This window comes from Homo sapiens, chromosome 19 (assembly GCF_000001405.40).
Source record: "Homo sapiens chromosome 19, GRCh38.p14 Primary Assembly".
Lineage (NCBI taxonomy): Eukaryota > Metazoa > Chordata > Mammalia > Primates > Hominidae > Homo > Homo sapiens.
The window spans coordinates 40,816,649-40,843,540 of NC_000019.10; the positions used below are offsets into that span (position 1 = coordinate 40,816,649).

The 26,892-nt window shown below is 47.0% G+C and overlaps 1 pseudogene, besides 3 other annotated features; it reads right to left on the bottom strand.

The window, feature by feature from the left end:
* CYP2F2P (cytochrome P450 family 2 subfamily F member 2, pseudogene) lies at nt 1,829-10,125 on the bottom strand (annotated as a pseudogene).
* Nucleotides 1,866-2,075: an enhancer, noted in NCBI's record as "active region_14669". NCBI's record gives its function as "activates an Ori minimal core promoter by ATAC-STARR-seq in GM12878 lymphoblastoid cells {active_cell/tissue: GM12878}" and the evidence as "EXISTENCE:reporter gene assay evidence [ECO:0000049][PMID:35858748]".
* Nucleotides 9,734-10,235: an enhancer, noted in NCBI's record as "H3K4me1 hESC enhancer chr19:41332287-41332788 (GRCh37/hg19 assembly coordinates)". NCBI's record gives its function as "activates a minimal SCP1, AML or CMV promoter by ChIP-STARR-seq in primed H9 embryonic stem cells {active_cell/tissue: H9 hESC(primed)}" and the evidence as "EXISTENCE:reporter gene assay evidence [ECO:0000049][PMID:30033119]".
* Nucleotides 10,236-10,735: an enhancer, noted in NCBI's record as "H3K4me1 hESC enhancer chr19:41332789-41333288 (GRCh37/hg19 assembly coordinates)". NCBI's record gives its function as "activates a minimal SCP1, AML or CMV promoter by ChIP-STARR-seq in primed H9 embryonic stem cells {active_cell/tissue: H9 hESC(primed)}" and the evidence as "EXISTENCE:reporter gene assay evidence [ECO:0000049][PMID:30033119]".

Here is a 26,892-nt window from a genome sequence, read left to right on the forward strand (position 1 = left end):
CTCGGGAGGCTGAGGCACGAAAATTGCTTGAACCCAGGAGGTGGAGGTTGCAGTGAGCTGAGATCGAGCCACTGCACTCCAGCCTGGGTGACAGAGCAAGACTCTGTCTCAAAAAATAAAAATAAAAGTAAATTAGCCAGGTGTGGTTGTGGTGCACCCTGTAGTCCCAGCTACTCAGGAGGCTAAGGTGGGAGGATCGCTTGAGCCTGGGAGGCTGAAACTGCAGTGAGATGTGATTATGCCATTGCATCCCAGCCTGAGAGACAGAGTGAGAGCTTGTCTCTAAAAAAAGGAAAAAAAAAAAAGAAGAGGAAGAAGAAGAAAAAGAAGTGCAGTGTCTGTAGCCTCAGAGTCTGAATTTAGATACCAGCTCTGCCTGTTTCTGTGTGATCTTGGGCAACTCACTTCACCTCTCTGAGCCTCAGTTTGCTCATCTGTAAAAATGTGGTAATACTGCTTTGTGGCCAGGTGTGGTGGCTCATGCCTGTAATCCCAGTGCTTTGGGGGGATGAGGTGGGAGGATCGCTTTAGGTCAGGAGTTCAAGACCAGCCTAGGCAACATTGCAAGACCCTGTCTCTACTAAAGATTAAAAAAAAAAAAGTTAGCCAGGCACGGTGACTGTAGTCCCAGCTATTTGGTGATCTGAAGCAGAAGCAGGAGGATCAGTTGAACCCAGAAGTTCAAGGTTGCAGTGAGCCTTGAATTGTGCCATTGCACTCCAGCCTGGGCAACAAGAGGGAGACCCTGGCTATAAAAGAAATAAACAGGGTAGGTGCGGTTGCCGGTGGCTCACGCCTCTAATTCCAGCACTTTGGGAGGCTGAGGTGGGCGGATCACAAGGTCAGGAGATTGAGACCATCCTGGCTAACAGGGTGAAACTCTTGTTTCTACTAAAAATACAAAAAATTAGCCGGGCGTGGTGGCGCACGCCTGTAGTCCCAGCTACTCAGGAGGCTGAGGCAGGAGAATCACGTGAACCAGGGAGGCGGAGGTTGCAGTGAGCCAAGATCGCACCACTGCACTCCAGCCTGGGTGACAGAGCGAGACTCTGTCTCAAAAAAAAAAAAAAAAAGGAAAGAAAAAAGAAACAAAAGCCCCCAAAACAAACCAGAGCAAAGTAGGGAGACTTAAATGAGGCATTCAGAACAGTGTGCAAATAGGGAGTGTCATTTAGTGTCAGTGCTTGTTCCATCTTAGCCTCACTTTGCCCTGCTTTCCCCATCTCTCTGCAGTGCCCTGCATCTCTTGCATATTCTCTCTGATATCTCTCTGCTGTCATCTTCTTCTTGATATCTCTCTGCTGTCTTCTTCTTTTTCTTTCTTACTTTTTTTTTTTTTGGGGGGGGTCTCACTCCTGTCTCCCAGGCGGGAATGCAGTGGCACAATGATAGTCCATTGCAGCCTCGACCTCCCAGACTCAAGAAATCCTCCTGCCCCACTTTTTGACTTTTTTGTAGAGTCAGGCCTCACTCTGTTGTCCAGGCTGGTCTCAAACTCCTGGGTTCAAGCGATCCTCCCGCCTCGGCCTCCCAAAGTGCTGGGATTACAGGTGTGAGCCACTTCGCCTGGTCCTGCTATCTTTTTCTCTGTCTTGGTTTCTCTGCCTCACTGGCTTCAGGTCCTCGCAGCCTTTACCTTCAAGCCTGTCTCCAGGATACAATTTGTCCCACCCTAGCCACCCTAAAGGTGAGGGCAAAACTAGCCAGTGTCTCCATCTCTGCAGCCAGCTCCCTTCTCCCCATCCTAAATGACTCTCATTCTCACTTTAATTCAGCCAAGACTGGTTTGAATCTATTACAATGTACTAAGAAATGATACAAAAAGCCCAGAAAAGGGCGTGCCATAGAACAAGCTCTGTGGGTACAAAAAGACATGCCACATCTGCCTCTGCCCTGCAGACGGGGTACAGATTGGAGGGATGGGGGAAGGGCACGCGGCAGGCACAGCATGCAGGGAAGACAGCGTGACTGCCAGAGGGATGGAGGCAGACCGTGGACCAAGAAGGGGACGTAGCAACCCACATGGGTGGGCCTCATCGCTCACAGGCGAATCTGGAAGGGCCGGGGCGTTAGCGCGGGTGCAGGCACAGCTGGAAAGGCCGCGGCAAATTGCCAAGACCTGAGCTGAGCGGGGTCAGGTCGATGTCCTCGGGCGCACCCAGCGGCTGCAGCGAAAAGCTCTGCAGGATGGCGGTGAGGTACAGAAAGAGCTCCATGCGCGCCAGCGACTCTCCCAGGCACAGACGGTGCCCTGCAGGGGTGGCAGGATGGGGAGCGGTGGTGAGATAAGATGAGGTTAGAGGCTGCAACCCCACATTCCCAGAGGAAAACATAAGAGGAAAGGAAGACAGCAGCTGGGGACGTCACAGATTCACCCATGTAAAGATGTGGGAAAGATGCTTTAAACTGTGGAGCGGAATGACCTGGGCTGCTTGGGTTCGAATCCCGGTGCTGTCACTACTAGTTTTGTGATCCTGGACAAACCACACTTTCTGGGTATTTAAAATGGGGATATGAAGACTGGGCGCGCTGGCTTAGGCCTGTAATCCCAGCACTTTCGGAGGCCGAGGCAAGAGGATCTCTTGAGCCCAGGAGTTTGAGAGCAGCCTGGGCAACACAGCAAGATCCCATCTCTATAAAAAATTTAAAAAAAAATGTGCAAGGTGGCACATGCCTGCAGTCCCAGCTGCTTGGGAGGCTGAGGCGAGGGGATCACTTGAGCCCAGGAGATCAAGGCTGCAGTGAGCCATGATCGTGCCACTGCCCTCCAGCCTGGGTGAGAGCAAGACCCTGTCTCAGAAAGAAAAATAAAAGGAGGGATAGTAATAGTGCCTCATGAGGCTGCTGTGAATGGTAAACACAGGGAAAGCAGTGAGGCTGTAAGTAGCTCACCATGGGCCATGCCCTACTCTAAGCATTACATCACAATTAATTCTAACAACTCCAAGAGGCAGGCCTTAGTATTATCTCCATTTTATAGATGTGGACATTGAGGTACAGAGAAGTGAAGTAACATACCCAAGGCAACACAGCTAGGGGGTGACAGATGGGATGCAAACCCTGCTGGAATCTGGGCTGCACATTCCCAGCGGAAAACATAAGCTCTTAGCTGGGCTCTTGTAGAGGCAGCACTTGACGCACAGTAGGCAATATGGTAAGTTACCTATTATTATGCCAGTTGTTTTTTCTTTTCCTGCTACTGAGTAAAGAGGGAAGTATTTTTCAGCAGGGTAAAGAGGAAAGCCAAAAAACAAAACAAAACAAAAACCCTAGAACCACCTCAACTGCGCCACCCAGTGGAGAGGTAGACAATGACCACTCCCAAGTTCAATTATTATTTTTTCTTTTAAACATTTTATATATTTTTTATTTTTGGCTAGTCAGTATTTTTTATTTTAGAGAAAGGATCTCGCTCTGTCGCCCAGACTGGGGTGCAGTGGCATGATCATACTCACTGTAACCTCAAACTCCTGAGCTCAAGTGATCATCCCACCTCAGCCTCCCAAGTAGCTGGGACCGCAGATGCACACCACACCACATCTAGGTAATTTAAAAATTTTCAGTAGAGAAAGGGTCTTGCCATGTTGTCCAGGCTGGTCTTGAACTCCTGGCCTCAAGCGATCCTCCCACCTCAGCCTCCCAAAGTGCTGGGATTACAGGCATGAGCCGATGAACCTGGCCCAAGTTAAATAATAATTATTATAATTATTATTTATTTATTTTTTTGAGACGGAGTTTTGCTCTTGTTGCCCAGGCTGGAGTGCAATGGCGCGATCTCGGCCCACTGCAAGCTCCATCTCCTGGATTCAAGTGATTCTCCTGCCTCAGCCTCCAGAGGAGCTGGGATTACAGGCATGTGCCACCATTTCCTGCCTAATTTTTTTTCTTTTTTTTTTTTTTTTGAGATGGAGTCTCACTCTGTCGCCCAGGCTGGAGTGCAGTGGTGCGGTCTCTGCTCACTGCAAGGCCCGCCTCCCAGGTTCACGCCATTCTCCTGCCTCAGCCTCCCGAGTAGCTGGGACTACAGGAGCCCACCACCATCCCCGGCTAATTTTTTTGTATTTTTAGTAGAGATGGTGTTTCATCGTGTTAGCTAGGATGGTCTCGATCTCCTGACCTTCTGATCTGCCCGCCTTGGCCTCCCAAAGTGCTGGTATTACAGGCGTGCATTCCTGGCTAGTTTTGTATTTTTAGTAGAGACAGGGTTTCACCATGTTGGTCAGGCTAATCTTGGACTCCTGACCTCAGGTGACCTGCCCGCCTAGATCTCCCAAAGTGCTGGGATTACAGGTGTGAGTAACTGCCCCTGGCTGTTAAATTATTATCATTATTTTTTTTGAGACAGAGTCTCGCTTTGTTGCCGAGGCTGGAGTACAATGGTGCAATCTCGGCTCGCCGCAACCTCCGGCTCCCGGGTTCAAGTGATTTTCCTGTTTCTCCTCAGGAGTAGCTGGGACTATGGGCGCCCACCACCACACCCGGCTAATTTTTGTATTTTAAGCAGAGACAGGGTTTCACCATATTGGTCAGGCTGGTCTCGAACTCCTGACCTCAGGCGATCCACCCACCTCAGCCTCCCAAAGTGCTGGGATTACAGGTGTGAGTCACCATGCCCAGTCCCAAGTTAAATTATTAATCAACCTCCCCACCTTGCTTCACGAGGATTTTAGTCACTACTTGCCTATAGGAGCAGAGTTGAGAGGAGGAATGAATGTCTCTGTGCATCCAAAGCTGAGAATGGGTGGAAGGAAGGAGTGAGCGGATTTGGCAAGTGGAATTAGGATGAGGAATGTAGGTAGAAATTGGGCCAGAAAGACTCTGATTCCTGCCCTCACCAGCTGAGAAGGGCATGAAGGCTGGACTCTTCTTGAAGGACTGATTGGCATCCAAAAAATGCTCGGGGTTGAACTCCTGGGGCGTCAGGAACTGGCTGGGGTCGTAGTGGACGGTGTTAAGGAGGGTGATGACATCGGTGCCCTGTGTGGGTGAGGAGGTGGACTTAGCAGTGTAGGAGGGCTGGGAGGCTCCCAAACTCCTTTCCATTGTATTGGGCTGGGTGTCCTGGGGACTTGATAAGGGGTGGGTATAGGTGGGTATAGGACTCAATCGGGGGCCAAGGAAATATGTGTGGGTGTCTAGGGTTCCAAGTGATGGGTGCTATATGCTGTATTATTGGGGACTTTGGCAGGGATGTGGGAAACCCCCACCCTTTGTGGGAGCAGATGTGGGGTTTCTGGGGAAAAGGAGGGGTCCCTGAGAATAGCGTTTAGGCCCAGGGATCCTCCAGATGAAGTTCCACACCCCAGGGCTTCCAGGGAGGGGTTCTAGGAAGGGGATTTGTCACGGTGAAGGGGTCTAGTCCAGTATGATATGAGATGGGGTCCTGGCAAAGGCCTGAGCTTCTGGATTTAAGGGTCTGAGATGTCTGTAGCTAGGGCTTGGGATGCCAGTTGCTAAGGCCTGGGGTGTTGATTGCTAGTGCCTGGGATACTGCTTGCGAGCTGCAAGAGCCTGGGATGCCTCCTCTTAGGTTGCCTGATGTCGTTTGCCAGGCCTAGCGCACCTTGGGTATCAGGAAGCCGTGAAAGGCCGTGTCCCTAGTGATGCGGTGCGGCAAGTTCATGGGGATGATGTCTGCAAAGCGCTGCACCTCGTGGATCACCATGTCTGTGTAAGGCATGGCCGCGCGGTCCTTCAGCGCTGGCAGCCGCACGTGTCCCACCACAAGGTTGATCTCCTCCTGCACGTGGGCTGGAGGGGAAGGGGGAAGTGGGGTGGAGGGTATCAAACCAGGCTGGGAAGAGGTGTGTCCGTATGTGGGGAGGGGTCTAGTCAAAGCCTCCCAGCGCTGGGCGCCACTGCTGGGGCGTATGTGAGAATTAGCTAGAGCTGGCCGGGCGCGGTGGCTCATGCCTATAATCCCAGCACTTGGGAGGCTGAGGTGGATGGATCACTTGAGCCCGGGAGTTTGAGACTGTAGGGAAAAGAAAGAGAGATCAGACTGTTACTGTGTCTATGTAGAAAAGGAAGACATACGAAACTCCATTTTGATCTGTACTAAGAAAATTACTTTGCCTTGAGATGCTGTTAATCTGTAACTTTAGCCCCAACCCTGTGCTCAGAAACACGTGCTGTATGGAATCAAGGTTTAAGGGATCTAGGGCTGTGCAGGTTGTGCCTTGTTAACAATATGTTTACAGGCAGTATGCTTGGTAAATGTCATCGCCATTCTCCATTCTTGGGCACAGTGTACTGCGGAAAGCTGCAGGGACCTCTGCCCAAGAAAGCCTGGGTATTGTCCAAGGTTTCCTCCAACTGAGACAGCCTGAGATATGGCCTTGTGGGAAGGGAAAGACCTGACCATCCCCCAGCCTGACACCAGTAAATGGCCTGTGCTGAGGAGGATTAGTAAAAGAGGAAGGCCTCTTGCGGTTGAGATAAGAGGAAGGCCTCCATCCCTTGCATGTCCCTGGTAATGGAATGTCTCAGTGTAAAACCCGATCATACATTCCTTCTGTTCTGAGATAGGAGAAAACCACCCTGTGGCTGGAGGTGAGCTATGCTGGTGGCAATGCTGCTCTGTTACTCTTTGCTACACTGAGATATTTGGGTGGAGAGAAGCATAAATCTGGCCTACCTACACATCTGGGCACAGTACCTTCCCTTGGACTTATTTGTAACCTGGATTCCTTTGCTCACATGTTTTCCTGCTGACCTTCTCCCCACTATCACCCTGTTCTCCTGCCGCATTCCCCTAGCCGAGATAGTGAAAATAGTAATCAATAAATACTGAGGGAACTCAGAGACTGGGGCTAGTGCAGTTCCTCCGTATGCTGAGCACTGGTCCCCTGGGCCCGCTGTTCTTTCTCTATACTTTGTCTCTGTGCCTTATTTCTTTTCTCAGTCTCTTGTCCCACCTGATGAGAAATACCCACAGGTGTGAAGGGGCTGGCCCCCTTCAGAGACCAGCCTGGGCAACATGGTGAAACTCCATCTCTAAAACAAAATAGAAAAATTAGCTGGGCATGGTGGCGCACACCTATGGTCCCAGCTACTCAGGAGGCTGAGGCAGGAGAATTGCTTGAACCTGGGAGGCGGTGGTTGCAGTGAGCCGGGATTGGGCCACTGCACTCCAGCCTGGGTGACAGAGCGAGACTCCATCTCAAAAAAAAAAAAAAGGAAAAAAAAAAAAGAGTTAGCCAGGGCCTGGGAGGAAGTGGGTCAGTGAGGGCGAAAGGTTGGCTTGTGCAAGGGCCTGGGCGTTGGGTTGTGTGGGTGGGGCTTCAGGGAGGGAGGCCTGGAATCCAGGACCTGATGGGATTTCAGGAGCAGTTTCGGGACCCTACTTGCTGGACGGTGGATCGAGTGGGTGGACTGTGTGGGAGGGCTGGAGATCAGAGGCAGAGCAGGGGTTATACCCAGAGGTGGAGCTTGGGGAGGTGGAGTAGCAGACAGAGCTCCGTGTGTGGGCCAGGCTGTGTGGGAAAGGTAGGGTTCCCTGGCAAGTGGGTGGCTGGGGCTCTGGGGCAGAGTTCTGGGAGGACTGTTAGCTGGGCTCTGAAGCCAGCATGCAGTGGTGGACACGGTGGGCACAAAGCAAGACTAAGCAGGTGGAGGCGGGAGCGGTGGCTCACACCTGTAACCCCAGCACTTTGGGAGGCCGAGGTGAGAGGATTGCTTGAGCCCAGGAGTTGGAGACCAGCCAGGGCAACACAGCAAGGCTCTGTCTGTACAAAAAATAAAAAATTAGCTGAGTGTATTGAGTGTGGTGGTGCACGTCTGTACTCTCAGCTATTGATAAGGCGGAGGTGGGAAGATCGCTTGAGCCCGAGGTCGGGGCTGCAGTGAGCTGTGATTGTGCCACTGTACGCCTGGGCGACAGAGTGACTCTGTCTCAAAAACAAACAAAAAACTAAGCAGAGCTGGGTGCAGTGGCTCACGCCTGTAATCCCAGCACTTTGGGAGGCCGAGGTGGGTGGATCACTTGAGGCCAGGAGTTTGAGACCAGCCTGGCCAACTTGGTGAAACCCTGTCTCTACTAAAAATACAAAAATTAGCTGGATGTGGTGGTGTGCACCTGTAATCCCAGCTACTTGGGAGGCTGAGGCAGGAGAAATGCCTTGGACTCAGGGGGCAGAAGTTGCAGTGAGCCAACCGAGATCATGCCACTGCACTCCAGCCTGGGTGACAGAGCGAGACTCTGTCTCCAAAAAACAAAACAAAAACAAAAAAACCAACAATTAAGCGGGTGGGATCTGGGTCGGGATTCAGGCAGGCTGCGTGGACCTCGTGGGCCACGTGGTGGGATTGGCCTCCGTGTGGGTTTGTGGGTTTGGCTGTGGAATCCTGGTGCCAGCAGGAGGCTATATCAGACCTGGGAGGCGGGACTGGAGGTGGGGTCGTGGTTCCCTGCTCTGGGGTGAGGCTGGAACACATGGGCACCTCCACGCTGCTGTGTGGGTGGGCCTCACCTTGAACTTTCGGGTACTTCATGAATGCCAGGAAGGCGTGGCGCAGCGTGGTGCCCACCGTCTCGGTGCCGCCAAAGAGCAGGTTATGTGTGGTCATCAGCAGGGTATCCATGTGGAAGTGGCTCAGCGGGTCCTCCTTCTTCTGCCGTGGTAGAGGGGTGGGGATATGAGCCAGGGATGGAGACCCCTTCACTCTAGACCAGTACAACTGCTGCTGGGGGCCCATTCAGTCCCAGCTGGGTTTAACTTTCTTTCCCTGGGAGAGCTGGGGAACGCAGAAGGGCAGGGCAGGGAAAATCTCAGCTGCAGGGCCTACAATTAACTTCTTGGATAGAGCTTGAATGACTTCTTGTTTTTTTAAAAAATACATTTTATGTATGTATGTATGTATGTATGTGTGTATGTATGTATGTATGTGTGTGTATGTGTGTATGTATGTATGTGTGTATGTATGTCTGTATGTGTGTATGTATGTATGTGTGTATGTATGCATGTGTGTATGTGTGTATGTATGTGTATGTGTGTGTATGTATGTGTGCATGTATGTGTGTATGTGTGTATGTATGTATGATGTATGTATGTGTGTATGTGTGTATGTATGTATGTATGTGTGTGTGTATGTATGTGTGTATGTATGTGTTGTAGAGACTGGGTCTTACTATATTGTCCAGGCTGGTCTCGAACTCCTGGACTCAAGCGATCCTCCTGCCTCGGCCTCCCAAAGTGCTGGGATAACAAGCCTGAGCAACTGCCCCCTCCGCCCTGCCCCACCTCCTTTGATGACTTCTTAATGAGCTGTAAGTTGGCGGTGGCTGCGAGTGGCTCCTGGCTCCAGCCCAGCTGGGCCAGATGCTTCAGCTTCTCCAGGGAGAAGGTCCCCCAACCCTGCCCCATCTGGGGTCCCTGTGGGTTTGAGGCAGGGGCAGCAGGAGAATTTCAGGTCAGACTAGAGGTGGGATTTCCAGGTAGGGATTACCTCTGCCATCTTGGTGAGGAAGCAGTGGATGAAGTCCCGGGGAGATCTGGGGTCTAGCGAGGCCTGGTGGTCGTGGACGCTGTGGGCGATGAGGTCTCTCAGGCACTTGAAGTTCTGGAAGATGCGTTGGTGCGGCCCAGGCACCCAGTTCAGGAGGCTCGGGAAGATGTCGTACAACTGGGGACCAGACAGAGTAGGAGGGTTTTGGAGGAGGACGAAGGGTGTTCAGGGGCGAATGGGGTCAGTGTGGATTAGGTAGGCAGGGACAGGGTCTCAAAGGGCAGCCAGGTCCGGGGTGGGGGTTGGGGCTGAGGGGGAGTGGGAAGGAGGCAGTGGCGGCCATAAATGCTCAGTGGAGGGGAGTGGGCGTGGCCGTGTAACTCTGGGTGGGGTCAGATGGGAGGGGGCGGGCCCTGGGCGGGCCATTCACAGCCCTTTCCCCGCCCACTGTTTCCTCTCCATTCCTAGATCCTGCGGACCCCACACCCTGCCCCTGCTGGACTCAGTTGGCTGACCTCGCCCCAGGGGCTGCTCATGATTTGAAAGTTGTCATTGATAAGGCGGATAATGGTGAGCAGACGCTCATCATCATAGTCGAAGCGGCTGCCGAAGAGCACGGAACAGATAATGTTGGACCGTGAGCGACTCAGCACAAACGTGGGGTCAAAGGGCTCGCCTGAGGGTGAAGAATGGAATGGGTCAGGAAGACGCGATGTGCAGCACACCAGACCTCATGCAGCAACACCATTAATTTGCACAACATCCGACTCAACCATGGCAACGTGTCTTACGGTGCAAACACGGGCACATGGTCACAACATGCTGCTTAACAACACCCCAAAAGCATCTGTCAATGCCACAGACAGCACCGAACCCACAGCTTCCTGCAGCACATCGACAGCAACAACGCCCAACCACAGAACAGGTTGGCAACACACACACAGCACGCGACATAGCACAAGGCAATCATCAGGCATCACGGAACACAACAACACAGGGCAACAGAACACCCAGCAAATACGATCACAGTACATGCCAACACACGACACGCAGTGACCTAATAGCCAGCCCGGAAACATCCCAAGACACGGTAACCACACACCAACACGTAATGCCAGCATACCGCTACATAATCCTGCCACACAACACACGCTAGTACACAGCAACCCAGCAGACAGCACAGAACACACGATGTGGCATCACAACACATACAGTCAAGGCAGCAGAACAAAGGACACACTATGCAGCAACGCAACAACGTTGGCAGCCAGCAGATGACACAATGCAAAATCACATGCAGTGCCTGACAACTCTACAATCTCACCCAGAAATATCTCAACACAACACGTAGCATCTGGCCGTCCAACAGCTGAACAGACCATAGTAAATACTGAACAACACATTTCTTTCTTTCCTTTTTTCGAGATGAAATCTCGCTCCGTCGCCCATGCTGGAGTGCGGTGGCACGATCTCAGTTCACTGCAACGTCTGCCTCCCAGGTTCAAGAGATTCTCCTGCCTCAGCCTCCCAATGAGCTGAGATCACACCCGGCTAATTTTTTTGTATTTTTAGTAGAGATGGGGATTCACCATGTTGTCCAGACTGGTCTCGAACTCCTGACCTCAAGTGATGTGCCCACCTTGGCTTCCCAAAGTGCTAAGATTATAGGCATGAGCCACCGCGCCTGGTCTAGTTTTTGTATTTTTTGTAGATACAGGGTTTCACCATGTCGCCCAGGCCGGTTTCGAATTCCTGAGCTCAAGTGATCCACCACCTTGGCCTCCCAAAGTGCTAGGATTACAGGCGTGAGCCACCATGCCCGGCCAAAACAGCATATTTCAACACAGCACCCAGGACACAATAGCACAGCCCAAAAAACCAGATCTGGAGTTAGATGGACGCGGTTTGAATCCTCGTTGGTCTCTTAGCCTTGGTGTGACTTGGGCAAACTGACTTCCTTTTTCCGAGCCTCAGTCTTCTCATCTGTAAAATGGGCCTGATGGCACTCCTCTCATCCTGGGGCTACTATAAGGAGTCAGTGAGTGTGTGACTGGGAGTCAGTGAAGGGCCTGACCCATTGCAAGGCTGTTACAGATCATGGTGTTGTGGCAGGTTGTAATGCCCCCCAAAAGATGTCCAGGTCCTTATCCTTACAACCTGTGAATTTGTTACCTTACATGGTAAAAAGGACCTTGCAGGTGGGATTAAGTTGAGGATTTTGAGATGAGAAGTTTACTCTAGACTGTCTGGCTGGGCCTAATGTAATCACAGGGATCCTTTTTAGAGGGAGGCAGGAGGGACTGAGTAAGAAAAGATAATGTAGGCTGGGTGTGGTGGGTCACACCTGTAATCCCAGAATATATTGGGAGGTTGAGGAAGGAGGATTGCTTGAGCACAGGAGTTTGAGACTAGCCTGGGCAACATAGCAAGACTCCCTCTCTATAAAAAGTTAAAAGAATGAGTTGAATGTGGTGGCACATGCCTGTAATCCCAGCTACTTGAGAAGCTAAGGCGGGAGAATCAGTTGAGCTCAGGAGGTCAAGGCTGCAGTGAGCCAAGACCATACCACTGCACTCCAGCCTGGGCAACAAGAGTGAAGCTTCATTTCAAACAAACAAACAAACAATCAAACAAGTAAACAAACAGACCCCAAACTATTATTTTACTTCTGGGGCCCAGAATTCCAAAATCAGCTTCACTGGGATAAAGTCAAGGTGTCAGCAGGGCTGGTACCTCCTGGAGCCTTGATAAGAGGATCCATTTCCTCGCCTTTTCAGCTTCTGGTCGCCCCTTTATTCCTTTGTGCGAAGCCCCTTCATCCATCTTCAAAGCACATCACTCCAGTCTCTGCTTCCATCCTCACATTGTCTCTCTCTGGCTCTTCCTGCACTCCTCTTTTTTTAAAATTAATATTGCCACATTATTTTAAATTATGTACAAAGACCTAACATGTCACTCAGGGACCATTTCACCCACTGCTCTATTTAGCCGCCAGTCTCTTCAGCAATGGTGAGGGTTTGGTGTACACATTATTTCATCACCCAGGTAATAAGCATAGCACCCGACAGGTAGTTTTTCGGTCCTCACCCTCCTCCCATCTTACCCTCAAGTAGGCCCTGCTGTTTGTTGTTCCCTTTTTTGTGTCAATGTGTAGTCAATGTTCAGCTCCCACCTATAAGTGAGAACCTGTGGTGTCTGGTTTTCTGTCCCTGCATTAGTTCACTTAGGATAGTGGCTTCCAGCTCCATCTATGTTGCTGCAAAAGACATTATCTTGTTCCTTTTTATGGCTGTGTAGTATTCCATGGTGTATATATACCACATTTTCTGTCTTTCTCCTTCCTTCCTTCCTTCCTTCATTCCTTCTCTCTCTCTCTCTTTCTTTCTTTCAGACAGAGTCTTGCTCTGTTGCCCAGGCTGGAATGCAGTGGTGTGATCTCATCTCACTGCAACTTCTGCCTCCTGGGTTCAAGTGACTTCTCCTGCCTGAGCCTCCCAAGTAGCTGGGAATACAGGTGCCCGCTACTATGCCTGGCTAATTTTTTTGTATTTTTAGTAGAGACGGGGTTTCACCATGTTGGACAGGCTTGGTCTCGAACTACCGACCTCACGTAATCCACCCACCTTGGCCTCCCAAAGTGCTGGGATTACAGGCGTGAGTCACCACGCCCAGCCCACATTTTCTTTATCCAGTCTACCACTGATGGGCATTTAGGTTGATTCCACATCTTTGCTATTGTGAACAGTGCTGCTGTGAACAAAGGTGTGCACGTGTCTTCATGGTAGAACGATTGATATTCCTTTGTGTATATACTCAATAATGAGATTGCTGGGTCGGATGGTAGTTCTATTTTAAGTTTTTTTAGAAATCACCAAACTACTTTTCACAGTGGCTCTTGGCTTAAATTTGGAAGCAGAGGTACACTCCCTTTACACCTGATTTTTAAATTTCTTTTCTCCTTGATCAGATAATATGTTGACACTATCCAAAATTCAAAAGATACAAAATGATGGAAAGTGAAATTTCTTCAACCCAGTTTCCCTTGCCAAGTTGATACTAATGTTACCAGTTTCCAGGTTATTCCATACACAAATATACAAATAGTAACTTACTATATCCACTGTATCTGTCAGGTTGGGTTGGAATTTTTTTTCTTTTTCTTTTAAGACCGTCTCACTCTGTCTTTCAGGCTGCAGTGCAGTAGGGCAATCTTGGCTCACTGCGACCTCTGCCTCCCGGGCTCAAGTGATTCTTGGGCCTCAGCCTCCTGAGTAGCTGAGATTACAGGTGTGTGCCACCACACCTGGCTATTTTTTGTATTTTTAGTAGAGACAGGGTCTTGCCATGTTGGCCAAGCTGGTCTTGAATTCCTGGTCTCATGATCTGCCCACCTCAGCCTCCCAAAGTGTTGGGATTAGAGGTGTGAGCTCCTGGCCATTGTGCTGGGTATTCTATTTGCCCTACCATCTCCACTCTCCACCATGACCTGTCTTTTAGAAGGGTGGCCTCTATAAACTGTACCACCCATGCTCCCTTCACCTCTACATTAAAAAAATTTTTGGGTTTGGCCAATGGAAGTTTGAGAGAAGAGCAATGTCAGATTATTTTGCTTGGCTGTGTGATAGCAATGGTTGTATTCCTCTGCCAGAAACCATGCCCTCCTGCTGGGGGCTCTCTTTTACCCCTATACAATCAGTCTCGGTTTCGGAAACTACTCCCTCTCACTGCACCTTTCAACCTAAGGATGATGATGGCGTCTCCTTATTGTAAGCCATAGAGTGCTTCAACGTCTTGTAGGGTTCTTTCACACTGCCCTCCACTTTGTAAAAAGTCCCTCCATTGGCCAGGCGCGGCGGCTCACACCTGTAATCCCAGCACTTTTGGAGGCCGAGGCGGGCGGATGACGAGGTCAGGAGATCGAGACCTTCCTGGCTAACATGGTGAAACCCTGTCTCTACTAAAAACACAAAAAATTAGCCGGGCGTGGTGGCGGGTGCCTGTAGTTCCAGCTACTCGGGAGGCTGAGGCAGGAGAATGGCCTGAACCCGGGAGGCGAAGCTTGCAGTGAGCTGAGATCGCGCAATTGCACTCCAGCCTGGGCGAAACAGCGAGACTCCGACTCAAAAAAAAAAGTCCCTCCATTAAGCACTCATATTTTTCTGCTGGGGTTCTGATGGACCAAGTCTATCAAATGAATGCATCATAATTTGTTTAACCAATATCTTGGTGCATATGTTGGTTTCCTATTTTTCATTATGTAAACAGTTCTTTGATGAATCTAGGTGATTTTGCACACTTTCTTGTACATCATAGGAGACATTACTAGAAGTGGAGTTAACTGAATCTGAGAGTATGTTCTTTTGTAATTTAGAGAAAAGCATTCACATTACTCTCCTCTGAAGCTGTACCAATTTATAGTTCCACAAACCGTAACTGAGAGTAAGGATTGCTCTGGGAGGCTGAGGTGGTAGTGGATACTAGCCTGGGCCCTATAGCGAGACACCATCTATACAAAAACATTAAAAAAAGTTCTACTACTAGGGTGTGGGAGAATGCACCTGTGGTCCCAGCTGCTTGGGAGGCTGAGGTGGGAGGATTGCCTGAGCCAGGGGGTTAAGGCTGCAGTGAATTATGATTGTGACACTGCATTCCAGCCTGGGTGACAGAGCAAGACACTGTCTCAAAAAGACAAAAAAACCCACCCCAAACAACCAACAAAATTGGAGGCCATGATTTCACACCCAGTGATCCTAATAGCTCAAATTTTGAATTAGAGACTGTGGTTTTAACATCTGCTAAATTCCTTATGTTGAGGAATCACTGAGTCAAAGGTTTCAGCCTCTTTCCAAGGGGGAGAGCACGTGGACAATTACATCTCATGCAGGCATTTGGTTTTATGGACTCACGTGCTTGTTACAAAACCAGACACAGCTTTAGGGCTTCTTATTACCTTCCCCCACCCGTCCTTGGTAGAAGAGTCAACAAATGACATCTAAGCTGCCAACACATATTGGAAAATGTTTGAAACTTGAGATCTGTGGTTTATTATGAAACAGGCAGTGCCCTGGAGTTTGAATTTTTTCCCAGTTGGTCTTAGTACCCTGTCTGCAGATTGAGGGGAAAGGGCAGGAAGGGGAGTAAATGTAGTTAAGAGCATAGCCTCAGCTGGGTGTGGTGGCTCACGCCTGTAATCCCAGCACACTGGGAGGCCAAGGAGGGTGGATCGCTTGAGGTCACAAGTTCAAGACCAGCTTGGTCAACATGGTGAAACCCCCATCTCTACTAAAAAATACAAAAGTTAGCCAGGTGTGGTGGTAGGTGCCTATAATCCTAGCTACTCGGGAGGTTGAGGCAGGAGAGTCACTTGAACCCGGGAGGCAGAGGTTTCAGTGAGCCGAGATTGTGCCACTGCATTCCAGCCTGGGTGACAGAGTGAGACTGTCTCAAAAAAAAAAAAAAAAAGCATAGCCTCTAGAGTCAAACAGATCTGACTACTACATCTGTGCTAGGTACTTTCAGTGGTTGAATCTTAATGATTCTGACTCTGTTTGCTCACATGTAAAATGTGGATGATCATAGAACCTTTATCACAGATTTGTGAAGACTGCATTGCACACTCCATGAAAAGTTATCCTTAGCACAGCATCAGGCACAGGGAAGCTCAACGCCTTGAAGGTGCTGTTTTTATTTCTAGGTCCCTAAGATCTTCCTCGTCCTCCTTATGGCTCCCCCCTTTATTCTCCATATTTGTTCCTTCCTTGAAAGTCAAGGGTGCAGGAAGAAGATGATATCCTGGAGGCCAAGCCCACACAATTAGGACATGTGGTGGACATTCACCTGTTCTTAGATCCACTGCTGCTCTTCCTCTGCTTGTCTATCACAAGGGGCTGACACCTGCACACTAATTCTGTCTTGAGGGAGACTGTGTAGGGGAACATGGCCATTTGAGTTCATTAGGAAAGGGTTTTGAGGTCAGGACATGGGTATCTGGTGTACATGGGAGTTTGGTGGCCTCTATTGTAGGAGGCTTTGGAAATGTGTATTGTTGGGAGGTCCTGAGGGAGGAAGTTTGGGATGAACATGGAGATTCTAGGCTGTGGAGGAAGATGTAACATGGCTATTGGAGGATTCTGGGACCTTACCTTGGTACCTTGGTACCTTGGTAATGAGGACATCTTCAGCTTTATTTTTATGTATTTACTTTTTTTTGAGATGGAGTCTCACTCTGTCACCCAGGTTCGAGTGCAGTGGCGTGATCTCAAAATACTAAAAATTAGCTGGCTGTGTTGGTGGGCACCTGTAGTCCCAGCTACTTGGGAAGCTGAGGCAGGAGAATCGCTTGAACCTGGGAGGCAGTGGTTGCAGTGAGCTGAGATCACGTGGCTGCACCTCAGCCTGGGTGACAGAGTGAGACTCTGTCTCAAAAAAAAAAAAAATGTTCATCCCTCAGCTGCTCAGCCGGCAGTCGTTCTTTTCTCAGTAGCTGTTTTCTCCTCAGCTTTGTGGAGTCTTTCCCTCAGCCTGTGCAGCTCTGTATTCAGCCAATGATTTGAGGCCACTGTAAGCAGCTCTTTCCCTTTGGAGCTCTTTTTGTAAGCAAAAGCTCAGTTTCTTACGTAAGAAAACCCAATTCCCCTTGAGGAAGAGAAAGAGCTGGAGTCCTTTAAAATTAACTGCCTGTTTTTCTGTGGCTAGGGAGCCTTATCTCTCCCTTTGCCAGGCATTGTGAAGACTCTGTTTCTCTAGCTGTGCAGCTGCAAGGTCACTAGACAGATAATCTCAAGTCGTAAAATATGCCGTTCCTTGAAAAGTAAGAAATGATGTAATGCATGTCTCTACTGAATAAGTGTCTTTGTTTCTCGCTTCTGTTGTATGCTTCCCCCTGCACAGATCTCTTCCTGCCCCAGAAATGCTTAAAAGGTAACTGGACTCTTTGTTTGGGGCTCAGTCATTTTGGATGTTGATCTGACTGGGCCGGTGCACCTAAATAATAATAAGAAATCCTCCTCAACCCCTCAGTCTCTCTGATTCCTAAATTATCTCACTGCAAAGGCAGGAGAATTGCTTGAGCCCAGGAGTCTGAGACCAACCTGGGCAACATAGTGAGACCCTGTCTCTACAAAAGATTAAAAAATTAGCCAGGCATTGTGGCGCATGCCTGTGGTCCCAGCTACTCGGGAGGCTGAGGTGGAAGGATTGCTTGAGCCCAAGAGGTCCTGGCTATGGTGAGCTATGATCACACCACTGCCTTCCAGCCTGAGTGACAGAGCAAGACCTTGTCTCAAAAAAAAAAAAAAAAAAAATTGGGCTGGGCATGATGCCCCAGGCCTGTAATCCCAGCACTTTGGGAGGCTGAGGTTGGTGGATCACCTGAGGTCAGGAGTTCAAGACCAGCCTGTCAAACGTGGTGAAACCCTGTCTCTACTGAAAAATACAAAAATTAGCCAGGTGTGGTTGTGTGCACCTGTAGTCCCAGCTACTCGGGAGGCTGAGACAGGGGCCTAGGATTAAATAAGGAGTTTTGGCAAAACTAGGCTGGAACTCCAAAACCTGCTACATAAGTACTCACGAGGGTTGCTAGTTATTAGTATTATTACTTTGTTGTTATTTGGCTCTGGTCAGATTTCAATTAACGTCACAATAGGATTTAAACATTTCTTTTATTATTTTTAAGATTTTAGGCCAGGCGCACTGGTTCCCAGCACGTTGGGAGGCCGACGGGGGTGGATCACCAGAGGTCAGGGGTTGGAGACCAGCGTGGCCAACACAGTGAAACCCCTTTTTTACTAAAAATACAAAAAAATTAGCTGGGCGTGGTGGCATATGCCTGTAACCCCAGCTATTCGGGAGGCTGAGGCCAGGAGTTTGAGACTAGCCTGGGGAAATAGTGAGACCTTGTCTCTACCAAAACAAAACAAAACAACCAACAACATTAGGCCAGGCGTGGTGGCTCACACCTGTAATCCCAGTACTTTGGGGGGCTGAGGCGGGTGGTGGATTGCCTGAGGTCAGGGGTTTGAGACCAGCCTGGGCAACATAGTGAAACTCTGTCTCTACTAAAATACAAAAATTAGCTGGGCATGGTGGTGGGCACCTGTAATCCCAGCTACTTGGGAGGCTGAGGCAGGAGAATCGCTTGAACCTGGGAGGCGGAGGTTGCAGTGATCCATGATCCGGCCATTGCGCTCCAGCCTGGGTGACGAAAGTGAAATTCCATCTCAAAAAAAAAAAAAGTTAGCTGGATGCTGGATGTGGTGGCATGTGCCTATAGTCAGCCACTCAGAAGGCTGAGGTGGGAGGATCACTTGAGCCTAGGAGTTCAAGGCTGCAGGGAGCCGTGATCATACCACTGCACTCCAGCCTGGGCAACACAGCAGACTCTGTCTCAATTAAAAAAAAAAAAAGCGCAGAAGAATATTGGTTTATGGAGAGTATTATTTTAAGTTTTAGAAATTTTCTATGCAAAACAAACAATGGAAAATAAGAAATGCATTACTCTATAATAAAATATAGCCTTTTCTCTCCCATATATATATATGAGTGGATAAAAACAGTCATAACTTCCTACACATTTAATCCTCTATACTAACTCTCATACCCACTTACCACTCCCTCAATGACAAACATACCAAAAAGATGCTAAATAAATGAAAACAATACTTTGTATTCTTAACTATGTAAAGTATTGTACTTAACAGGTATTTTCTTGGCTGACTGGTTCTCCATACCCAACAAACACAGTGATGTCAACTCTCACCACTCATATTAAACAATATAGCCATTGCTGTAAAGTACAAAAGAGAAATGCAGTACAAATTGAAAAGGAGGAAATAAAACTTTTATTCATCGCTGATATTATCAGATACATAAAATCCCAAGGAGACAAAAGCTACTACTAATGAGATTAGAAGGATCCCAGAAACAGACACAGACGTGCACACACACCTCCCCACAGACACAGATACACACTCACAACACACTCAGAAGTACATTTTATTTTATTTTGAGACAGTCTCGCTGTGTCACCCAGGCTGGAGTGCAGTGGCTCCATCTCAGCTCACTGCAACCTCCGCCTCCTGGGTTCAAGCGATTCTCCTGCCTCAGCCTCCCCAGTAGGTGGGATTACAGATGTGCACCACCATGCCCGGCTAATTTTTTGTATTTTTAGTAGAGATGGAGTTTCACCATGTTGGCCAGGCTGGTTTTGAACTCCTGACCTCAAGTGATCCACTCGCTTTGGCTTCACAAAGTGCTAGGATTACAGGTGTGAGCCACCACACCCAGCCAGAAGTATCTTTTAAACAGGATTTTTAAAAGTGGGAGTTGACCCTTTCCAAAATCTGGAGTTGGGATGGGCATTAGTGGTTTGGAGAGGAAAGAGCAGGTGTGTTGTGGCTGGGAGGCGATTCCTTTCAGCACCTTGGGTGATGTCTGAGGCCATACCCACTTTCTGTGCTATTTTTGGGATTATGATGATTAACCCACACTCCCTTTGTTCCTCCCATGTAACCTGGATTCTTGGGCATTCAACCAATATTAAACCCTTCCTCTGAAAAATTCCTGGATTGACAAGAGCACACTGGACCCATTTCCATTCCCCATCGTGATCAATAGGTATCAAAAGAAATGATAGCTTCTTAGAATAGAAATTTGCAGCCACTGGGGAATGTAGTTCTTAAATGTGAATACAGAAGAATCTCTTATTACAAAATTCTGTATGGCTCTGGATTTAAGATTTTGTTATTTTTTATTTTTGAGACATGGTCTCTCTCTGTCACTCAGGCTGGAGTGTGGTGGCATGATCTCGGCTCACTGCAGCCTCTGCCTCCCAGGCTGAAGCAATCCTCCCACCTCATCCTCCCACCTCATCCTCCTGAGGAGCTGGGACCATAGGTGCGCACGACCACACCCAGCTATCTTTTTGTATTTTTATATTTTGCCAAGTTGCCCAGGCTAGTCTCGAACTTCTGAGCTCAAGCAATCTACCCACCTTGGCCTCTCAAAGTGTCGGGATTACAGGTGTGAGCCACTGCAGACAGCCAGGATTTAAGATTTTAAGAGATATTGAAAGCCTTTTGTTATAATACCATTGAAAACATAAAATACTTAAAATTAACAAAAGTTGTGCAATAGCATAACTACAAATCATTGATGAGAGAAATTAAGTATCTAAATGAAGAGATTTATCATGGCCACGAATTAGAAGACTTAATATTGTTAAGATGTCAGTTCTTCTGAAATTGATCAACAGATTACTTGTAATCCCAATAAAAATTTCAGCAGGCTGTTTTTGTTTTGGTATAAATTAGTAACATGATTTTAAAATTCTAAGCTGTGGCTGGGCAAGGTATCTCACGCCTGTAATCCCAGCACTTTGGGAGGCTGAGGCGGGCAGTTCACCTTAGGTCAGGAGCTTGAGACCAGCCTGGCCAACATGGCAAAACCCTGTTTCTACTAAAAGTACAAAAATTAGCTGGGCATGGTGTTGGGCACTTGTAATCCCAGCTACTTGGGAGGCTGAGGCAGGAGAATCACTTGAACCCGGGAGGCAGAGGTTACAGTGAGCCGAGTTCGTGCCACTGCACTCCAGCCTGGGCGACAGAGCGAGACTCTGTCTCAAAAAAAAAAAAAAAAAAAAAATTCTAGGACGTATATCTTTTACAACTACTAGTCAAAGTAATTATAAAAGAGTAACAGGCCGGGCGCGGTGGCTCACGCCTGTAATCCCAGCACTTTGGGAGGCCGAGGCGGGCGGATCACGAGGTCAGGAGATCAAGACCATCCTGGCTAACATGGTGAAACCCCGTCTCTACTAAAAATACAAAAAATTAGCTGGGTGTGGTGGCGGGCGCCTGTAGTCCCAGCTACTCCGGAGGCTGAGGCAGGAGAATGGCGTGAACCCGGGAGACGGAGCTTGCAGTGAGCGGAGATTGTGCCACTGCACTCCAGCCTGGGCGACAGAGCAAGACTCCATCTCAAAAAAAAAAAAAAAAAAAAAAAAGAGTAACGAATTCAGAGGGCTCACCTTATTTTACAATAAAGTAGTGTAGGCATATACTGATCAATGAAACAGAAAAGAAGGTCTAGAAACAGACACTTATATAATCAACTGATTTTTGATTAAGGTGCCAAAGCTATTCAATGGGAGAAAGGAAAGTCTTTTAACGAAAGTGTTGGAATAACTGAATTTCCTTAAGGAAAAAATATGCTTTTGCTCTTATTTCACGCTATATTTAAAAATTAACTCATAATGACTCAGACTTAAAAGTAAAAGCTATAACTATGAATTCTTCAAAAGAAAGCATAGGAGAAAATCTTTGTGAACTTGGGGTAGACAAAGATTTTTAAAATGGAAAAATCGATCATAGTTCTTTATTTGGAAATTAAAATAAAAATGCCATAAGCAATGACACAAAAAATGGCATACCTAGCATTACATTTGGCTTACATTTAGTGTAAGATCTACACAGTAAAACCCGCTAAACATTGCTGTGTCATGTTGAGGAATTTTTTCCTTCCTTCCCTTCCTTCCTTCCTCCCTCCCTCTTTCTTTTCTTTTCTCTTTTCTCTTTCTTTCTTTCCTTTCTTTCTTTCTTTTCTTCCTTCCTTTCTTTCTTTTTCTTTCTTTCCTTTCTTTCTTTCCTTCCTTTCTCCATCTCTTCCTCCTTTCCTCCCTCCCTCCCTTTTATTTTCCTTCCTTCCTTCCTTCCTTCTCCCTCTCTTTTTTTTTTTTTTTAAGACAGAGTCTCCCTCTGTCATTTAGGCTGGAGTGCAGTGGCACGATCACAGCTCACTGCAGCCTTGTCCTCCCAGGCTCAAGCCATCCTCCCACCTTAGCCTTCCAAGTAGCTGGGACTACAGGTGCACATCACCATGCCCAGCCAATTTTTGTATTTTTTGTAAAGACAGGGTTTCACCATTTTGCCAAGGCTGGTCTTGAACTCCTGAGCTCAAGCGGTCCTGCCTGCCTTGGCCTCCCAAAGTGCTGGGATTACAGGTGTGAGCCACCGCACCTGGCCAATCTTTTCTTTTTCTTTCATGAAAGTTGTACTATTTATGGAGTACATGTGATGTTTTGACACATAGACAAAATGTGTAATAATCGAATCAAAGAAATTCGGATATCCATAACTTCAGGCATTTATCATTTCTCTGTATTAGGCACATTCCAATTCCACTCTCAGTTATTTTGAAATATACTATAAATCATTGTTAACTACATTCACCCTATTGTGCTACCAAACACTAGATCTTATTCTTTCCATATAACTGTATTTTTGTACCCATTAACCATCTCCTTTTTATCCTCCCTTCTCCACTACCCTTTTTAGCTTCTGCTAACCATCATTATACCTCTACCTCCATGAGTTCAATTTTTTTTAGCTGTCCCATAGTAGTGAGAACATGTGGCCTTTGTCTTCCTGTGCCTGGCTTGTTTCACTTAATGTAATGTCCTCCAGTTGCAACTGTGTTGTAAATGCAGGATCTCATTCATTTTTATGACTGAATAGTACTCCTTTTTGTGAATTTTCTTTATCCATTCTATCCACATTTTCTTTATCCATTCATCTGTTGATGGACAGTCAGGTTATTTCCAAATCTTGGCTACTGTGAATAGTGCTGCAGTAAACATAGGAGTGTGGATATATCTTGGATATACTGATGTCTTTTCTTTGGATATATACGGTGGGATTGCTGGATCATAGGGTCATTTTATTTTTAGTGTTTTGGGGAACCTCCAAACTGTTTTCCATAGTGGTTGTACTGATTTAGATTTCCACCAAGAGATATGTATGAGAGTTCCCTTTTCTCCACATTCTTGCCAGCATTTGTTATTGCCTGTCTTTTGGATAAAAGCCATTTGAACTAGGGTGAGATGACATCTTATTGTAGTTTTGATTTGCATTTCTCTGATGATAATTATGTTGAGCACTGATATGGTTTGGATCTGTGTCCCCACCAAATCTCATGTTGAATTGTAGCTCCCAATGTTGGAGGTGGGGTCTGCTGGAGGGTGGTTGGATTTCTCATGAATAGTTTCATACTGTCCTCTTGGTGCTGTTCTTGTGATAGTGAGTTCTCATGAGATTTGGTTATTCAAAAGCGTACAGCACCTCCCCGCTCACTCTCTCTTGCTCCTGCTTCCGCCGTCTAAGATGCCTTACTCCCTCTTTGCTTTCTGCCATGATTGGCAGTTTCTTGAGGCCTCTCCAGAAGCAGAAGCTGCTGTGCTTCCTGTACAGCCTACAAAACTGTAAGCCAATTAAAACTCTTTTCTTTATAAATTACCCAGTCTCAGGTATTTCTTTATAGCAGCGTGAGAATGGATTAATACAAGTCTCAGGTATTTCTTTTCTTTTTTTTGAGATGGAGTCTCACTGTGTCGCCCAGGCTGGAGTGCAGTGGTGTGATCTTGGCTCACTACAACCTCTGCCTCCCAGGTTCAAGCAATTCTCATGCCTCAGCCTCCCAGGTAGCTGGGACTACAGGTGCCCAGCACCACGCCTGACTAACTTTTTTTGTATTTTTAGTAGAGACAGGGTTTCACCATGTTGGCCAGGCTGGTTTGGAACTCCTGACCTCAGGCGATCTGCCCGCTTTGGCCTCCCACAGTGCTGGGGTTACAGGCATGAGCCACCGTGCCATCAGGTATTTCTTTATAGCAGTGTGAGAACGGATTAATACTAGCACCTTTTCATATACCTGTTTGCCATTTGTATGTCTTCTTTTGAGAAATGTCTATTCAAATCTTTTATTAATTTTAAATTGGATTATTAGATTTTTTTCCTATTGAGTTGTTTGAGCTCCTTATATTTTTTTGTGAATTATTCTTTGTCAGATGGAAAACTTGCAGATATTTATTTTCTTCCACTCTGTAGGTTGTCTCTTCACTTTGTTGATTGTTTCCTTTGCTGTGTAGAAGCGTTTTAACTTGATGTGATCCCATTTGTCCATTTTTGCTTTGGTTCCCTGTGCTTGTTGGGTATTACTCGAGAAATCTTTACCCAGTGCAATGTCCTGGAGAGCTTTCTCAGTGTTTTCTTTAGTAGTTTCATGTTTGAGGTCATAGATTTAAGTCTATGATCCATTTTGATTTGATTTTTGCATATGTCAAAAAATAGGGGTCTAGTTTCATTCTTCTGCATATAGATGTCCAGTTTTCTTGGCATTGTTTATTGAAGTGACTGTTATTTCCCCAGTGTATGAATGTTCTTGGCACCTTTGTTGAAATTGAATTCACTGTAGATGTATGAAGTTGTTTTTGGGCTCTTTATTATGTTCCATCGGTCTACGTAACTTGTTATGCTAGTACCTTGTTGTTTTGGTTACTATAGCTCTATAATACGATTTGAAGTCAGATAATGGGATTCCTCCAATTTTGTTCTTTTTGCTTAGGATAGCTTTGGCTACTCTAGATCTTTTGTGGTTCTGTTTAAATTTTAGAATTGTTTTTTCTGTTTCTGTGAAGAATGTCATTGGTATTTTGATAGGAATTGCATTGAATCTGTAGATTGCTTTGAGTAGTATGAACATTTTAACAATATTGCTTCTTCTAATCTCACTGTGTCGCCCAGGCTGGAGTGCAGTGGCTCCATCTCAGCTCGCTGCAACCTCTGCCTTATGGGTTCAGGCAATTCTCCCACCTCAGCCTCCCAAGTGGCTGCAACTGCAGGCGCATGCCACCGTGCCCGGCTAATTTTTGTATTTTTAGTAGAGATGGGGTTTCACCATGTTGGCCAGGCTGGTCTCGAATTCCTGACCTCAAGTGATCTGCCCACCTCGGCCTCCCATAGTGCTATAATTAACAGTATGAGCCATCAAGCCCTGCCGTATTTCATTGTATGAACATATTACAGTTCATTTATCCATTCACTTGTTGAAGAACATCTTGGTTGCTTACAAGATTTGGCAATTATGAATAAAGCTGCTATAAACATCTGTGCAGAGGTTTTTGTGTTGCTATATGTTTTCAACTCATTTGGGTTAATACCGAAGAACATGATTGCTGTAGCACATGGTAAGAATATGTTTAGCTTTGCAAGAAACCGCCAAATTGTCTTTCAAAGTAGCTGTGTCATTTTGCATTCCCACCATCAATGAATGACAGTTCCTGTTGAGCCACCTCCTTGTCAGCATTTGATGTTGTCAGCTTTGGATTTTAGCCATTCTAATAGGTGAGTAGTGGTACATCATTATTGTTTCAATTTGAAATGGCTACTGACATATGATATGGAGCATCTTTCCTTATGCTTATTTGCTATGTGTATATTTTCTTTGGTGAGGTGTCTGCTCAGATCGTTTGCCCATTCTTTAATTGGGTTGTTTTCTATTGAGTTTTAACAGTTCTTTGTGTATTTTGAATGTAAGTCCCTTATCAGGTATGTCCCCTGCAAATATGTTCTCCTAGTCTGTAGCTTGTATTGTCATTCTCTTGACAATTCTTTTGCAGAGCAGAAGCTTCTAATTTTAATGACACAGAACTTATCAATTGCTTCTTTCAAGGATTGTGCTTTTGGTGTTGTATCTAATAAGCCATCACCAAACTTAAGGTCATCTAGATTTTCTCCTACATTATCTTCTAGAAGTTTTGTACTCACTATTCATTTAGGTCTACAATAAACTTGGAGTTAATTTTCGTGAAAGCCGTAAGGGAGCTTCTAAGGGGGACACACACTAACTTCTTTGAGAGTGGGCAGTGATTGTGAAACTCTCAGCTGGGTCTTACAACAGACCCCAGATCCATCAGGAGAGCCCAGCCTTCAGAACCCATAGTGGAATATGTTTCATGCATACACGGAGGAGAATATGCAGTCATATGCTCACATGCATGTCTGAACATGATCACACACATGAATATGGCTATGTCCTGATCCAGAGTTCTCTCATTCTCTGTAAGTGATTCTTTCCTTCAACTTCTTCATTAAGGGATATATTGACAGAATGTCATTAAAATTAAAAACTTCTGCTCTGCAAAAAATTGTTAATGGACTGACTCTGTATGTCCATTCATGTCTCGTTGTGTCCCTGGACTGACTCTGAATGGGCTACAGTGGCCTTATCTGGTAGCAAGCACAGATTACACCCGGGTATTCAAAGCATGTTGAGTAGGTGAGAGTGTGGGCATGTGTGCAGTGAAGGCAGGACAGCCACCCGCCAGGTCTCTGGAAAACTCCCCAGGACAGGGATGTTCAGGCCATGTGATGCTATACTAAGCTGTTTTACGTGAGGAATAGGTGCTTTTTAAGAATCTGTCTAGAAGGCTATGGGCACAGATCTGTGTTCAAAGATTTTCTGGGCACTTATGTTTTGTGAGACATCAGAGACAACTTTCTAAGCCTCAGTTTTGTCACGTGTAAAATGGGCATGAACGCCCTTCGCAGAGGTTTGTGGCAATTAGGTGAGCGTGCAATGGTTTTTGAACAAAGGTGACACGGGGGTACGTGC